Raw genomic sequence first — 18056 nt, 5'->3', positions numbered from 1 at the left:
GACATCTGCCCTCTCTTGATTGTCTTTATTCCTATATCATTGTGCCCACCTAGCTTGAGACAGCCATGCTAAACTTCCTGTTTTCTCTTTCTCCCCTCCCTCTTCTCGTCTCAACCTCCAGTCTTACCCCAACTGTAGCAAGGTTCTGCCAAATTTCATCTCCTTCCAAGCAGAGTGGGTGTTTTAAGTTAAGCATACCATGTGCTCCATGCTTCTGAAGATTAAATCTGCATTTTTTAGCATGACTTTCAAAGCCCTGTTCCTCACCGATCCACCAAGCCAGCCTTGCCTCCTACAACTTTGCCATCTTGCTCAGTGCCCCGACTACACTGAATTTCTTCAGTTTCCTCAAATGGGTCCAGATTCTTACTCACCTCCAGATTTTACCTCTGGCTATCCTCTTGCTCTGCTGCCTAATTCTTCCCTCCCTGGCACATGGAAGATACTGACCTGTATTCATTGAATAAAAGCAACAAGTAATTGACTAATTGAGCAACTGATTAAATCAGTTAACCTCCTGTACTATTTTCCAGTATTACCTTCCATGTAATAATAATGTCACTTGTCTTGATTGTATTAGTGTTGAGATCAATTGGTAGAAGGGGTGTGTGTGTGGGTGTGTGTGTGTGTGTGTGTGTAATTAGAAATATATAGAGAAAATGATATTCGTTATCTGGGATTAGGTAAAGGAAGGCTTCTACTTTAGATTCAAAACTTTATTAACCAATAAATTACTACTATTTTCTATAGCTTTTCTTTAAGAGTATGTGCATCTGTCACAGGCCAGAGCATTGCAAACACAATAGGTAAGCATGTTTTCATTTTTACATTCTTATGGTATACTAAGAAAGTTGAACAGTAACCATTTCTCTGCACAGACCATAAAAAAATGAAAGAACCCTTGAGGAATACCAAGATATCTGTTGCATATATGGAACCTTCTAATAAATATTACTTCAATACTTGGTAATACTATTATTTATAAGAACATATAATTGTAGGGAAAATGACAACTTTTATAAAACCATTATAAAACATTTGTAGCTTGGAGAGTATGTTATACAATTTTTCCAGCTCATTTATCATGCTTGGTCTCAACTATGAAAAAGAACTGTTTCCTGAATAAGCAACTTGAAATAGAAATTCATCTCTCTGATAGAGCACTGTGTTCACTGAATACTTTTTCTCTACTTTACTTCTGTCCTTTAGTCTTGATGGCAGAGGTGCAATTAGATTCCCTGAAACAGAAAGGAGCTATTAAACGGACGCTCTTCCTTGATAACCATCAGGCTCATCGCGTCTTCCCTCTTGTGATAAAAAGGCAGAAATCCCACCAGTGCCAGGATTTCATCGTTTACCTTCGAGTAAGTATTCCAGAAAGACTTCTCTGGCCTCTCTCCTTCATATCCAAATTCCAACCATTTTTCTCCATTTAACCATCATGTTTGTCTGCATAGACCCCCATCTGTCTGTTTTCATTTTCATAGCAGGAAACTTTATTTTAGGGTCAAATACTCTCCTCTTGACCCTGACTTCAACTAACCTGATGATGTGTTGCTATTAATTTCTAAGGCTTCTTTTCATTTTGATCAAAATCTTTATAATGGCATTCAGCTCACATGGTTTTCATTTCTACCCACCTCCTCCCCAAAATACATAAAAGTGCAACACAGTTTATGTGAATTTTTCTCCTATGTGAGTATGTCTTGTTAGATTTTATCAATGCATGTTTCAGAGCCAATTCAGGAAAATATTTAGGCATTCAAAGCTTTTATTAGAAGTAACTTATAATTATCTTATTTAAAGTAATGTCTTTTTACAATGACTTCAAAACCTACCGAAATTTTAAAGTAAAAATATTTATAACACAATTACCTATCTTCACCTTGCCGGTTGTGAGGTTGTGATAACTGTCTCAATTTCTCTTTTCCATTAGGGGACTTAGTTAGCAAGGACCACCCTAGGGAAGATCACAGGTTCACAATCACACTCAAGAATGAAAAGTTGGATACCTGACCCTTGATTGGCAAACAATTGAAGGGTGACATATCCACCGTGTGTTTAGTGCTTGCTGTTTGGTGCTTACCCCTCTCTACTAAAGGAGTTCTGTTTCTTTTTCCAAAAGAACTTCAAATATCCTGAAGGTGTTCTGAAGTTCATGCAGGCAAGGGCTTAAAAAGATGATGAGAGGAAGAGAATCAAGATGTTTTCTTCTTCTGAGCCCCAAGAGAGAACTCATAAATTCTGGCAACCTCACGAAAATAAAAATCCAAATTCATGATGTTTTTTGTGACATTTATGATATACACGTGTAATCTTTTACTTTGCAACTTGACCAGTTCTGCATGAGTTGTTGAAGGTCTGGAGAACCCAAAGATTGGCTCCAGAAGCGTATTTCAATGAAGCCGCAGCTCTAAATGATTTCATCACTGCACATATATTAGGTATGCTGGCTACTATATACCACATAAATCAGCCTCCATCTAAGCCTGCTGCAAAGATAATTGTTTCATCATTCACTTTCATTGAGTAAATTCCAGTGTTGCCTGACTTTTGCAGACTGACATCTTGCAGCTATTTCATGGAGCCTCTGTTGAGTTTGTGATTATTTTTCCTAGGATGAAACTGAATTCCGAGATAAATTATCTCCAATCAACATTAGTTTGAATTACAGTTTGGACGAATCCACCTTTAAAGAAGGCCTGGAAGTGAAACCAATATTGAACTACTACAGAGAAAACATTGTTAGTGAACAGGTAAGTCCTTCACAGTCTTTGACGGCATTTTCTCAAGCAAGCTCTCTGGGGTGTTGTTCTCATGGCTTTAAGACTAAAGCCAGCTCCTTTCATTTTTACTTCTGCATGCAGACATGGAACATTTGGGAGTTTTCCTACCATGTTTCCTGAAACACTGCATGATTGTGTTTTTCGGAAGCCTTTCCTCTTGTGCAATCAAGATTTAATTTGTTCAAAATGTGGCTGTAATGGAAGCAATACAGCCTGTAATCCTCAAGCCATAGGCAGAGTTGCATTCTTTGCAGATATTTCAGAGTGCATTGGAATTGGGCTATTATGTAAAGTAGCCTGTATTGGGAGGTCACTGTGAAATGTAGGCTATTGGCTTGGGTAGAGTCATGCATAGTGAGAGGAAAGCTCTGGTTCCGTTTGTGGCACCATTCAGAATTTTCAAGAAAAAGGATGTGAATCAGATTTTCCTAGATTGTTCCTGACGTGCGTTTATACAACACAGGCTCACATTCTGGTGGACTGTGGAGAAGACAATCTGTGTGTTCCTGACTTGAAGCTGTCGGCTAGACCGTAAGTTTAAATAACTAAATGTGTACTTTCTATCTAATGGAATTACAGGTATTTATGTAAAGGTTCTCTGGAGAAAGTATACACTTCCAATAACTACCAAAAACTATGCTGCGTGAAATTCTTGAGCTTGGCTACACTTTGGGTTAGCCTGTGGTTTGGGTCAGTTATTTGTCATTGGTGTCAAATGACACACCCTAAGATTTTGCCTGGGTCGTTTCATCTTTCAGCAAAAGTGGGGAAAAAAATGTTTTTGTTGAAAGTAAACTCATTGATGGGGTGGCTCGGGTTATGTTTACTTGCCTCAGTCAAGTAGACAAAGGATTCAGACAGGCAGGTTCCATCTACACCTTCAACCAAACTTTTTTTCAGCACCCCATGACTCAAAGCCATCCTTAAAACTGTCAAAACAAAATTAATTTTAACTTATTGAATAAATAAACCTAAATAGCACTCTATGGAGTAAAGCAGAAGGTGTCACAAAATTGAAACGAATCAAAGGGCTTCACAGTTGCCAGTAATGGACGCCCCCATTCCAGCACTGGAAATTGCACTGTATTCTGTTATGGGAAGACATGGACTAGGATGTAAAACATTCTGTGGTCAAGAAACAGATTTGTGTTTCTTTCCCTCCCAGGAACTATCTCACTGCCAGTGTTTGGAATCTGCTTGGTAACTTCTCAGAGGGACTTCCCCCAAATTTCATAATTTATCAACTTCAAATGCAATCGCTTTAAGTAAGGTTAAAAAGTGGAGTAGGCATTTCCAACTATTGGCTTGATTTGCAGTTCTAAGTGAACTGCATGTCTTCAAAATACCTTGAAGTCCTCTACCAGTGATTTAAGATCTTATTGTATCTGCCTGCTTCTTCCCTCTCATTATTTCCTTTGCATTAATCTATCCCTCTTACTTTCTAAACCACCTCTCTTCCTTTTATTCCATTGCCCATTTTCTTCCTAATGTATGTTTTCAGTGAAGTGCTGAAGCTGCTTCATTCTGGCTTGTAAGTGAAATGTTAAATTTGCAGTAATTTTGTTGGTAGATTGTTAAATATGTTGGTAGCTTGAAAATGACCACGGTTCATGGATTTACACCACTGGAATCTGAAAATGCTATAAATCAATCCTTTTTTTTTTTTTTTTTTTTTTGAGAACTGGTTGTTAAACATTTACCAACACACTACTGGGTGTTTTCCTGCCCTTTTTACCCAGAGATGATTCTCTTGCCTCTTCCTACCATCTCTTCATGATGGTCCATCTTCTTTTTTTGCACTTGCCATTTTTCTTTTCCTCCTCTATAAATCCTTAAATAAAATATTCACGAAGCCAAGAAGTAGAGTACCTAATCCTTCTTTTTAAACTGCATTTTTAGAGATAAGCATCAGGTAATCATTGGAGATGAAAATCACCTTATGCTCATAATAAATGCAAGAAATGAAGGGGAAGGAGCATATGAAGCTGAACTCTTTGTAATGATACCAGAAGAGGCAGATTATGTTGGAATCGAACGCAACAACAAGGTAATGCCTGCAAATTGTTTGAAGTCAAGAGCTAGGTATATTTTTGAAGTCAAGTAAATGTTAAGAAGGGCCATCTTAGCTGAGAGTTTCTTCCTTAATGAAAGACAGCAAAATGATACCTTCTTTTGTTAAATCATAACAGCAATGAGCCACAAAGCAGGGGTGGGCTTACACAGTATTAATGTCTTTCTTTGCCACAGTGCAAAGATAGATTGGCCAAAGATTGAGAGCTAAAGCAAAAAAGAGAACAAGACTGGCTGAAAGAAGAAGCTTACCAATGCGATCAAAAAGCTAAACTCCCAAGCTAACTCCCTGTCTTCACTGACTTTTCTAGCCTTGCACTGAGTTCCTATCAGTTTCAAGCACATGTCAGGAAGCCTGGTTTTCGTTATTGGTTAGGGAAGAAGGTCCAGCCAATCCCTGATGAGCACTGATAAAAGCCTGGACCGACACAGGAAGGGAAACAAGGTCCTTTCCCTTTCTTCTTGGTCCACCTTGTCAGAATTATGACCAGGAACAGCCTGGTCTTCCTCATTTGCCATTCCTCAATGCCACTATTTGTTTAAATGACAACAATGCTATTTATAGTCTTCCCCTTCCTTATCAGAACATGAATCTTCCCATTCAAAGCATCCTCCAGTTCTGCAGTGTCCTTAATCACTTGGTCTAGAAAACTATTAAAAATACATTGTAGAATAACAGAGAAAGTCCCTCAGTGTCTGAAATATACAAACTCACAATTAAGGGTAAAGCCCAAGTTTCACGTTTCCTTTCATAGGATGAGGTGTAGAGTAGGTGCTCCTTAAATACTTGCTGATAGCATTGTTCATTTAGCTTAAATGTATTAAATGTCTACTAGTTTCCAAATACCACACCCCCTGAGGACCTTGTCCATTTTAATGATTGAATAATGTAATGAAAAGTAATTCTTCTAAACAGATGTTAACAAACTGTTGTTGTGATGTTGGTATTTTAAAGGCATTAAAAAACTTAGGGAATATAAAATTCTCTATTCACACTTCTAGTCTCATGATTTTTGTTTGTTTTAGTTGAACGATCTTCTTAGTAAAAAACAAAAAATTAAAAAATCTAGATGGGTAATGATAGAGCATCTTTAACAGTCATTTAAAATCCTTGAGTATCTGTTGAAGAAATGTATAAGAAAAAAAAAACTCCAAAGTCATCAAATGTTATCCATTAAATATGTACTGCTGTTTTGTGTATGTCAGTCACATCTTAATAAAGTAGTTTTTAAAAAAATAGTCCTAAATTATTCTTAACTCTTCCATGTTGACAGTGAAGTTGGATAGAGGGGAAAAATAATTCCATTTCTTTTCAAGAGTATTTGCAAATCTCCACTCAGCTTTCATTTCCCTGTTATTTCAAACATGAAAATCAGTATAAACCCTAATTTCTCCAGTGAGTGGTTTATAATCATCCCATTTTCTTCTTTCTTGTATTTTTTTTTTTGAGACAGGGTCTTGCTCTGTTTCCCAGGATGGAGTGCAGCAGCGTGATCATAGCTCACTACAACCTCCGATTCCTGGGCTCAAGCAAAACCCTCATCTCAGCCTCCTGAGTAGCTAGGACTACGGGTGTGCACCACCATGCCTGGCTAATTTTTGTATTTTCTGTAGAGAGGGGGTTTTGCTATATGGCCCAGGCTGGTCTTGAACACCTGGGGTCAGGCGGTCCACCCACCTTGGCCTTCCAAAGCGCTGATATTATAGGCACGAGCCATCCTTGCCCCGCCAATTATGTGATTTTTTTTAATCCTCTTCATTTCTCTATTAAAGTCACTTTAAGATAAAAATAAATAAGAATAAAGGAAGTAATTATACACACAACTTATAAAAATGGTGTTTAATAACCACTTTGATTTGAAGATGTCATTTCATAATAAAATCTCTACAAGCAAAAACAGAAAGAAAAATGACGTCTACAAATACTTACCTGCAGATAACGCATAAACAAACACAAAAACAAAGCTTGAGTATGTTTTGTTTTTAATATTCCAGAGCTCCACTCATATTTTTATTTCAATTCCCTTCTTGTCACTCCACCCCTGACTTCACTAAACAAAGGACCTATTCTAAAATGTTCTTTTAGCAGAACATCCAGTTTACTGTTGGCTTTGTTGCATAGAAAACACAGGAGAGCACTTAGGAGTCTATCTTTGGCTGTAAACATTACAAGGGACATTATCTGCAATCTCAAATGATTCCTTCACTACTTTTTTCTCTGTCAATTTCCCTTTGGCAGAGACTTCACTCAGTCTTTGAATTTTACGTGACTAAGCCACATTCTAATTTCTTCCTTGTTTGGAAACAGTTTGAGGTTTGTGTACCTTTTGATTTCAACTCAGTTCAAGATTTTTTAACCATTTTTTCCTCAAGGGGAAAAATATTAGGCATTATCTGATTGTAAGGTTGGCTATTGTTTTGTTGAAAACATTCGTCTTTTTAGAAAATGTAAATGCTTATCATCTCTTGCTCTAGGAAACCTTAGTTGAGCCAGCCTTTATATTTCCTTTTGGTGATTTTTCTCCTTAATTTTTCTGTGAAAAAAGGTGTATATGTTTTATATTTATCATCATCATCATCATCATTATGATAGTAGTAAGATACATGTAAGATATAATTTATCATTTTAGCCATTTTCAAGTGCGCAGTTCAGTGACATTATATTTACGTGGTAGTGCAACCATCAGCACTGTCCATCTCCAGACCTTTTACATCATTCCAAACTGAACCTCTGCAACCCTTAAAAATAATTCCCCATTGCTCCCTCTCCCCAGGCCCTGGTAAGCACCATTCTACTTTCTGTCTCTGTGAACGATTCTAGGGACCTGTTATCATCTCTTGTTCAGTCTCTCACAGCCAGCTCGCCTTCAGCATGTCTGTATCCAGACTTTTGGTCTTCCCACTCACACCCCTCTTCCCTTCCATTTTCTTTTTTCTTTCCTTTTTTTTATGGAGTCTTGCTCTGTTGCCCAGGCTGGAGTGCAGAGGCATGATCTTGGCTCACTACAACCTCTGCCTCCTGGGTTCAAGTGATTCTCCTGCCTCAGCCTCCCGGGTAGCTGGGATTACAGGCGCCCACCACCACGCCTGACTAATTTTAGTATTTTTAGTAGAGATCAGTTTCACCATATTGGCTAGACTGGTCTTGAACTCCTGACCTCAAGTGATCCCCCAGCCTTGGCCTCCCAAAGTGCTGAGATTACAGGTGTGAGCCACCACATCCAGCTTCCCTTTCATTTTCTATGTACAAGAATGACATCAGCATCCCCTGGCTTCTAATACCTAAAGTGATGCCAGCCTGGATGAGGGTGATGACAGTAGCAGTTGGATGGAGAGAAGGATATGAACTAGAGAGATTGTGGACTGAGTCCATCCAACAGCCACTGTCACCACCTTCATCCAGGCTGCCATGATCTTTTGCCCAGATTATTGCAACAGTCTTCCTAGTTTGTCTTGCCAACTCCTTACCTCTAACCTAGAAAAAAATCCATCTTTCTAAATTACAAATCTGAGCATGGTACTGTCTTCAAATCCTCACTAGCTCCCCATTGCGTTGAGGATAAGATCCAAATCCGTCAGATAATGCATGAGACCCTTGATCATATCACCCCCACTCACCTCTTCAGCCTCATCGCTAAATGCTGACGCTTCCAGCTGGCTTGAGTTCCTTTTCCATTCCTGTAATGACACGGAGAGCTTGTTCCAGCCGTTTCTCCTCCCAACACACTAACTCTGCTCCCTCATCCTCTTTATCTATCCTACTTATTTTCAATTCTTTCTACTCATCCTTCAAATAATAATTGAGACTTAATAAAAATTGAGGCTTAATAATAGTTGAGACAATAATAATTGAGGTGGCTAACATTTACTGAACAACTGCTATGAACTGGGTAATTCTCTGAGTTCTTGAATGTATTTCATTCTTTTTTTTTTAATAGCATTAGGAGATATACCTAATGTAAATGATGAGTTAATGGGTGCAGCACACCAACATGGCGCATGTATACATATGTAACAAACCTGCACGTTGTGCACATGCACCCTAGAACTTAAAGTATAATAGTAATTTTAAAAAAGAATGTATTTCATTCTTATAACAGCCTTATAGAGAAGCTGCTGTCACTATCCCTGTTTTATAGGTAAGAATAAATTAAGTAACATGCGCAAGGTTATACAGCTATTATGTAGCCGAAGCAAGTTCAAACATCAACTGTTAGGTCCAGGCCCCTGTTTGTTTTGTTTTTTGGTTTTGTTTTGTTTTTTTGAGATGGTGTCTCACTCTGTCACCCAGGCCAGAGTGCAATGGCGCGATCTCAGCTCACTGCAACCTCTGTCTCCCAGGTTCAAGCGATTCTCCTGCCTCAGCCTCCCTAGTAGCTGGGATTACAGGCGCCAGCCACCATGCTCAGCTAATTTTTGTATTTTCAGTAGGGATGGGGTTTCACCATGTTGGCCAGACTGCTCTCAAACTGCTGACCTCAGGCGATCCACCTGCCTCGGCCTCCCAAAGTGCTGGGATTACAGATATCAGCCACCATGTCTGCTGGGCCCCTGTTCTTAACCACTGATATGCACTGCCCCCATCAGCTTAGATGCCACTTCCTCCAGGATGCCTTCTCTGATTGCTTGGATCTATGTGCAGGTCCTCCTTTGTCACTATTTATTTATCCTATCATAAAATTTCCCAACTCTGCTGCAATTGTGTGTTTCCACTGCTGTTATAATTGCTTAGAATTACTTGTTACGTTGTTAAAATAATTAAGAATTCAGTGAGGACAAGGGGTCTCATTTGTCAGGCCTGGTAAATAGTGGGTACACAGTTAATATTTTCAGTGAATGAAGAACACTCTAAGAGCTATAAATGGATTAGAACAAGAATGTCCCAGAAACTGCAGAGGAAAATAATCTAGAAATGTCCATAAAAAGTCATTGTTCCTCTTATTAACGAGAGGAAATAATGCCTAAAAAAAGAAAAAGGGTGGAGGGGATGTGAAAGGGAGAAAAAACTCTTTGAGTGATGTCAAAGAACTATTTCCAGAAAACTGGGGAAAAACTGTACATATAACTTTTAACCTTTAGGTGAGATTTAAAAAAAAAAATTTACTATAGAAACTAAATCCTTGAATGTAATTCAAGGGACATATGAGGACTTACGGAAGATTTTTCTGGGTTTTGTTCTTTCTGTTTTCATGACTGAGTTAATAATCCCAACACAAAGCATCTCTGTATGATTAGCGGTTAGTTATGGATCCTTAAGGAGCTGAAGACATACTAAACCTAACTTTGAGAAGAAAGAATATTACCACCTTTTTGAAAAGATGTTTTTTAGCTCATCCGACGTAACTAACTGTCTTTCAGGATATTTGAAGAGAGGATGTATTAAATTGTGCCTCCAAATATTAGTGATCCATTCCTTTCTCAATAACTAGGACAGATATTTCCATGTGTCTGTGTATCTGGGGATTCTGGGGGCAGGGTTTTATACTTGGTTGCATACTTGTCTGTTTCATTGTAGCCTTCTCTTTTACAAGAAAGTGTCAGCTGCCTCTACTCTGTTGTTCCTGAACCATCACTTACTTTGTGTCCAAGTTTGCTCTAGGCATTAGGACTAGAACAGACACAAAAACCTCTGCCTTCTTGAAGCTTATATTCTCAAAGTGTGTGGTTTACCTACAGAATTCTTTAGCTAGATGTCTGGGGAATGTTTCATGTTTTTTGCTTGGGTTTTCGGTTTGGGCTTTTGTTAATAAAATAGAAGGGAATGGAAGATCATTTCTGAAATTTTATATTATTCTCTTACCTAAAATTTCAATAGATAACAGACAAGGACAAAAAAACAAATAAAAAATAAAATAAAATTTCAATAGAGCTGACAGATGGATAAATGGTCATTATATTGAGAACCCTCTTCCGAACCTATCACAGGGACAGAAATTCCCCCCAAATTTGCTGTTTTATGAAAGTCCTCATATTGCAAGCTTACCTTTTGGAACAAAGGTGATGGATAATATATCGATGGCACATAACAAGTTAGACTGAAATAATGGAAAAATGTAAGTAGCTATGGCTGCATGCAGAGTGGGACCATAGGGTTTGCGGTATGGGAAAAGAATAGGGTAGAGAGTGAGGGGTGGGTTTCTGAGCAACTGGGAAAAGCATGCGGACATGAAGAGGAGCTGGAAGCCAAGGGCAACTGTTCCAGAACAAATCTGTATTTCCCCTCTCATCTGTTCAACCTTGAGAATTTGTCCAGTATATAGCTTCAAGAACCTCTTCTAACTTCAGTTTGTATGAACTCTACTTGGAATAGGATATAAGGGAAGGAAAGGAAATAGGAAGTACTGCTAAACATGAAGGTATTCTCTTTACATCTGAAATACTGAAGAACAGAAGAAAGTCGATTGCATGATCTCAAAACGGGACCATGGTGTATAGAAATTTGTGTTCAAGGCAATTATCTGGCAAATGGTCATTGAATCATATGATAATCTATACACATTATGATCATTTTGTTTTTGGAAGGCTTAATAGAATAAATTTATTTACTCATGTTTAATAATTTGTGATTTTCATGCCCTGAGTTTCACATTAATCTTAGTGAAGATATTGTCTAAGCTATTTATATAAATACTATATTATGCATTGTCTTCCTTAATGAAACACAATAAATATGCTTACCTACCCAACACATTTATTTCTAAAATTTAACTTTTACTTTTCTCTCTCCATTTTCTCTTCTGAGTTAAGGGTCATCAATTACTTTTTTTGCACTATCGCCCTCCTGGGTGTTTGAGATCCAGGGGAGCTCCCAGGCCCCCAGCATGGCTTTTGTGTCAGGATGTCATTTATCCTGCCCCCTAAACCCCCTGTTCTTTGCAATTGTAGGGATTTCGACCACTGAGCTGTGAGTACAAGATGGAAAATGTAACCAGGATGGTGGTGTGTGACCTTGGGAACCCTATGGTGTCTGGAACAAATGTAAGAGAGAACCAGAAATACTGACTGATTTCCTTCTAACTGGACTTCACAGGGAACAAATGGAAAGCTCTCCAGTTACCACTCAGCAACTCAGCACCTAGCAGCAACAACAAATTAGGCAGGAAATTGCCAGAGTAGTGGGATTTCACATTATAACCTACACAGAGTGAATCGTCTCAAGCTAAAAACACAGAAAGATGCATGCTCTTCTATGCTTTCTCTTTATACATTACTCTTGCCTGTCTTTTAGTTACAACAATTTTATACAGACTTTGTTTTTACTATAGATATTTTCTTTAAATACTTTTTCTTTGAATTCAAAAAGAAATGCAATGTAAGTTAAAGACTCTAAAAATAACCAAATTAGGACAAAGATTTTAGCAATGGCAATTAAAGGAAGGACATGACATTCAACAGTGACCATAGAATTCCCTTTTCAAGGGAGATTCAGGTACGTATTTGCATTTTAAAGATGCTGATAAGTCTTTCAGTTAATAAACCTTTTAGCCTGATGTTTCATACTTTTGCTTGAGCATTTGAAACTTTTCTCAAGTTAGAATATTATGCTAGAATGATATTTTTGCTCTTTTATGCTATAATGTTGCGTTGATCTTGGGTATTCAAAAATGTGCTGAAACTACAGTAAGCTCACTTCTTGGGGCAAAAATAAATAAATATTTCAATGGCAAGTACATTCCCATGACATATTATTATTGGTTACCATGGATTGATTGTCCTCTAGGTTATAAACGCATCGCTGGGAGGAGGGGAGTTTTTTACGTTATTTTATTGAATTTTCAAAACAACCCTGTGAGTCAAGTATTTTCTTTATTTTATGGATGAGGAAACTGAAGCTCAGAGAAGTCAGATGAATTGGCCAAAGCCTCACAGAGGGTAAAGGTTAGAACAAGATTCAAACCAAGTCTTACAGCAAAGCCCATGTTCTATCCCGTCTGCAACATGGTGAAAAGCCCTTGGATAAAAAACAAATGAATAACAGATGAGACTTCAAAATGAAGCATTGAAAGAGAGAATGGGATGTTTACACTGAGATATTAGAACATTTTTCACTATCATAGTCCTTTTATCTGGAAGGTAATGAATCGTTTTGCTAGTTTTTTGAGAAAAATCCAACCGCCTATTTTATTTTATTTTGAGATGGAGTTTCACGCTTGTTGCCCAGGCTGAAGTGCAATGGCACGATCTTAGCTCACCGCAACCTCTGCCTCCCGGGTTCAAGTGATTCTCCTGCTCAGCCTCCCGAGTAGCTGAGATTACAGGTGCATGCCAACATGCCCGGCTAATTTTGTATTTTTAGTAGAGACGGGGGCCAGGCTGGTCTCGAACTCCTGGCCTCAGGTGATCCACCTGCCTTGGCCTCCGAAAGTGCTGGAATTACAGGTGTGTGCCACCGAGCCCAGCCTCAATGGCCTAATTTAATATGAAGAGGGTTACCTAAGACAAAAGAGAAATGAATTGAGGTGGTAGTAACAGTGTCAGCATCTGTAGATGATGGACCACTCGTTCCTTTTTCAGTATTAGAAGTGTTACAGCTAGACCAGAGGTCATCTAAGGATAATCTTGGAACAAAACTGGCCACCAGTATCATTCAAAGTGGAGGAAAAATGGCAGTGTGGTCTTAATCACAAATGTGTTTATGTGAAAGTATGTCAATTCATTTTGCCAGCAAATAGTCTTTAGAAGTCAGGGAAGTAAATTGTTTATATTCATTTATCTCTGAGGTCTATAGTAAAAGAAACCTAATAGCTTTCTTATCTCATTCTTTAGTGCCCTTAAACACATCAAATTTTATTGCATTCTGTTTTGTTATAAAACACTTTGATTTATATTCTTCTTCATTTTGTACTCTACAAAGAATACTCTCAGTGGGTTGTGGTAAAATTCCAAATGGAAAAGCAGTGCTAAAGATTTTAAAAGCAACATAAATTGCCAGGAATGTTTAGTTCTATCTATTATCTTTTAAAAATCACTTTCAAGTGACTTGGTATTTTAACTTAAAAAAAATATTCAAGATAGTATTCAGAAGTTTTACTTCTGATTTTTAAATAGTAAAGTCATTTCCATAGAGTAGCTATAGTAATATAAGATGTTTACATGCCAATAAGATTCATAACAAGTTGCAAATTTTCTCATGGGAAAATTTTTTTAAACGGTGGGGTCAATAAGAGCGCTTTAAAATCAATGCCATGAGATCTGGTGTTTGGTACTAGTTAAGGACACATGCACCTCTTACCAGTATGAAATTGTCACACCTTCATTGGGTCTTTGTCCCATGCTTATTGTTCTATAATGAAAACCATCATTAGGTAGCCTCTATCGCAATACAATAAGGTTTCTATCACTGGAAATAAGCAAACAAGAACAAACTCTCATCATTCTTTTGGCATTTTTTTTGTTTTGTTTTGAGATGGAGTCTCATTCTATTGCCCTGGCTAGAGTGCAATGGCACAATCTCGGCTCACTGCAACCTCCACCTCCCAGGTTCAAGCGATTCTCCTGCCTCAGCCTCCGGAGTAGCTGGGATTACAGGCACTCACCACCACACTCAGCTAGTTTTTGTATTTTAGTAGAGATGGGGTTTCACCATGTTGGCCAGGCCGGTCTTGAACTCCTGACCTTGTGATCCACCCACCTCGGCCTCCCAAAGTGCTGGAATTAAAGGTGTGAGCCACCCTCACGCCCAGCCTGTTTTGGCAATTTTTATTGCACTGCTTCTATATGCCAGGTTCTAAGCTAGAGTCGGCAATATAAAGATAAAAACATACAACCTTCACTCAATAAGAAACTCAAAATTAGCAGTGTCATAAGTTGAGTGGTGGAAGAGTGGTAAAAAAGGAGACAGAGAATAAAAAGGAGAACAATTCTGCCTGGCCCAGCCCATAGAATCAGAGAATGTATTGCAGGAGATATCTCCTGTCCCAAGATTTCAGGCATGCGTTAGCAGTTCTTCAAGTAGAAAAGGCAAGAAAAAGCTAAAAGGCTTCTAAAAAGGAGAGAAGAGCCTGACAGAAAATTGCTCCTTTGGAATTTTTAAAAAAATTCATCCGGCCGGGCCCTTTGGCTCACACCTGTAACCCCAGCACTTGGGGAGGTCAAGGCGGGCGGATCATGAGGTCAGGAGTATGAGACCAGCCTGGCCAACAAGATGAAACCCCGTCTCTTCTAAAAATACAAAAAATTGCTGGGTGTGGTGGCACACACCCGTAATCCCAGCTACTCAGGAGGCTGAGGCAGGAGAATCACTTGAATCTGGGAGGTGGAGGTTGCAGTGAGCTGAGATTGTGCCACTGTACTTCAACCTGGGCAAGAGAGCAAGACTCTGTCTCAAAAAAAAAAAAAAAAAAAATCTTTGCTGGGGCGTAATGCCTTAGCATTAAATACTAGCTATACCAGCTGTGATACTTTGAGCAAGTCACACTGAAATGAGAAAACACCTACCTGTAGGACTGTTTGGAGCAATGAATGATATGACAAATGTAAAGCCATTCGGACAGTACGTAGCTCGAAGCACATTCGGCAAGGGCTGGTGAACTGGTGCTGCTGATTTATGACAAAAGAGATGATTTATTATTCGTTCATATTATTACTGATTCATGTGAATATGAGTTTTGGTTAATGGTTTGATTCTGATACTATAGTGGCTGTGATAACAGATTTGAAAGTTAGCTTGCAGGGATTTAAATTCTAGCTCTGTGATTTATTTGCAATGCACCTGGAGCAAGGTACTTCATCTCTCTAATCCTCAGGTTGCTGCTCAATTGTATAATGTCAGCAACAACAGCTCCTACCCCAGAGTGCTTTTTGGGATTACATGAGATCATGTGTGTAAGGCATAGTACAGTGCTTGGAAGAGTAAGTAACATAATATTACAGATGTGTTAACTATTATTTTTACTTCCTTATTTATATCATCATTGAATTTATTTTCCCCATGTTTTTATCTATTTCCACGTTATGAAAATAATAAAAGCAGTTTTAAAAATTTGGAAACCTTTAAAAGGAAAAAGTAATCCATGTAACTGTAACCTCAACTAGAACATATTATTCTGAAATGTTTTCCTATAGCGCATCCGCACTCCTGTACTGTAGAGGAATTTTTCGATTTGTAGACTTTTAAAACCAAAAACCATAGCTGACGTGCATTGCACATAAACATTGTAACCTTCACTCATTGTTGATTGTTATTACATTAGAAGCATTTTCCATATTGTTGCGTTGACTTCACAGCTATAATTTCAATGACTACATAAATGTCCATCAAACAGAAGCATCATAGTTTTCTAAGTCAATTTCTGGCCAGGTGTGGTGGTTCATGCTTGTAATCCCAGTACTTTGGGAGGCCAAGGCAGGAGAATTGCGTGAAATCAGGAGTTCAAGACCAGACTAGACTCTGTCTCTACGAATAACAAAAAAGTTAACCAGGTGTGGTGGTGTGCACCTGTGACCCTTGCTACTTGGGAGGCTAAGGAAGGAGGATCACTTGAGCCTGGGAAGTTGAGGCTGCAGTGAGCCATGCTCGCACTAATGCACTCCAGCCTGGGTGACGGAGCGAGACCCTGTCTCAATCAATCAATCAATCAATCAACCAATCAGTGTCTTCTCATATATTTGGATTATTTTCAATTTAACACACAAAAAGGTGGCAGGAGAAGAGGCAGTATAGGACTAAATGGAGAGAGAGAACCAACCTGTACTGTGACCTGAATCTTCTGGGGCCTGTAGTTCATTGCATGACTTCTCTTGGCTCTCAGCCACCTGGGGTAGAAGCAGAACAAAGGAAAGAGTTACAGTGATCCAGGGTGGGGTTTTGCAGGAATGACTTACAAAATATTTTTATGTTGTGTACAAGCTACTCTTGTGTGATTTTATTTTATTTTTTAGTATTCCCTGGGCCTCCGATTTGCAGTTCCACGTCTTGAGAAAACAAACATGAGCATTAACTTCGATCTCCAAATCAGAAGGTTAGACCTTTACATGCCTATATCGTTGACAGCAGTCAAAAGAAAAGAGATCCACAGTGAAATGATGTCATCTGTCAAGGCCCTTGGCCTTAAAAGCTCACCTGAAATTAGAACCCAGACTTTCACAGCCCATTTCTTCTTTGTTTTTCTCAATTGTTTCAGTAATTTCAACATTTTAGGGGTTTTGAAAAAGAGATTGAATTATACAGACCAAGTTATGAGATAGCAAAATTTTGTCCTGGGCACCCTCCCACCTGCTTTACTTCCACTTTTCCTCATTCCAAAGCACATGTCTTTCCCCACCCTAATTCCCATGCTCTCAGCTGGGCATCAGCTAGTCCCTGAGAACAAAGTCTGTGAAAGAAAAAGCATAGATTTTGCAATGGCCATCCTGAAGTCTCTTCAATTTTCAAGAATGAATGAATCTCTGATGGCTTACCTATGCGCACTGTGGCAGGATGCAGGTGAGATACTCCATTTTGAGGGCAAGCCCTTCTCTAGCAATGATAAGCAGAGCCATATAGGTAGCTGCCTCTCTTTTCTAAGGCTGATGCTGTTTGAGAATTCAGCTGTAACTTTACCCTCTTACCACCTATTCTGTCTGCTCCTTTGTGGCTGAAAATAATATTTCGTGAACAGGAAGACCTGAAGAAAGTAGTAGTGTGGCATTTGGGCTGGGGCTTCCCAGCTGTGAACTTAAACCCATTGGCTGGGTAATGGAATCAGTTTAATGGCTCTAGATCCACATTAAAAGGAAATTGAATGGAAAGTAACATATAATATAATATAATATAATATAATATAATATAATATAATATATATTAATACAGCTCATGAAATATTCCTTTCAGTAAGTATAAATATGTGTAGTAAGATGTCTAGTGAGATGTATGTATTTTTTGTGGTCTGCAGCTTAAAAAGTTTGAAAATCTCTGATGTAAACAGGACATGAAAGCCTTCTATATTTATTTATACCTTGCCTGGCATGTTGAACCCTTGCTCTAACTATTAAATGAATATGAAGTCAGTATCCACAATTTGAGTCTCAAATACTAGTGTGCAAGATGGTTAATTTCTAAGTTTATCTTAATATCTTGCAAGAAGTACCATTAGAGTGTGATAACTTTTAGAATAATGACTCCATGCAATGGATTAATTTTTAAATAGCTACTTCAATAAAAGGCTTAGGATTTTTTAAAAATATATAAACTCTGTAAGAATGTAGCAGATTTTAAAAATC

The 18056-nt window shown here is 38.4% G+C and overlaps 1 protein-coding gene across 3 annotated transcripts in view, besides 1 other annotated feature; it reads left to right on the top strand.

Moving 5' to 3' along the window:
• The window catches only part of ITGA8 (integrin subunit alpha 8), a 205969-nt gene that overhangs the window by 110882 nt on the left and 77031 nt on the right, over nt 1–18056 (top strand). For all 3 annotated transcript variants that reach the window (NM_001291494.2, NM_003638.3, XM_011519752.3), the window contains 7 exons: nt 751–806; nt 1210–1364; nt 2619–2756; nt 3250–3317; nt 4686–4833; nt 11742–11834; nt 16737–16816. In NM_001291494.2, the coding sequence (NP_001278423.1) occupies nt 751–806; nt 1210–1364; nt 2619–2756; nt 3250–3317; nt 4686–4833; nt 11742–11834; nt 16737–16816 (738 nt within the window). The remainder of the gene's footprint in view (nt 1–750; nt 807–1209; nt 1365–2618; nt 2757–3249; nt 3318–4685; nt 4834–11741; nt 11835–16736; nt 16817–18056) is intronic.
• Nucleotides 5097–5391: an enhancer, noted in NCBI's record as "tiled region #12763; K562 Activating DNase matched - State 8:EnhW, and HepG2 Activating non-DNase unmatched - State 24:Quies". NCBI's record gives its function as "activates a minimal TATA promoter and a strong SV40 promoter by Sharpr-MPRA in K562 cells, with weaker activation in HepG2 cells {active_cell/tissue: HepG2 | K562}" and the evidence as "EXISTENCE:reporter gene assay evidence [ECO:0000049][PMID:27701403]".

This window comes from Homo sapiens, chromosome 10, assembly GCF_000001405.40.
Source record: "Homo sapiens chromosome 10, GRCh38.p14 Primary Assembly".
NCBI lineage: Eukaryota > Metazoa > Chordata > Mammalia > Primates > Hominidae > Homo > Homo sapiens.
Note: the sequence above shows the minus strand (reverse complement) of the source record. Positions and strands in the feature narration are given on the sequence as shown.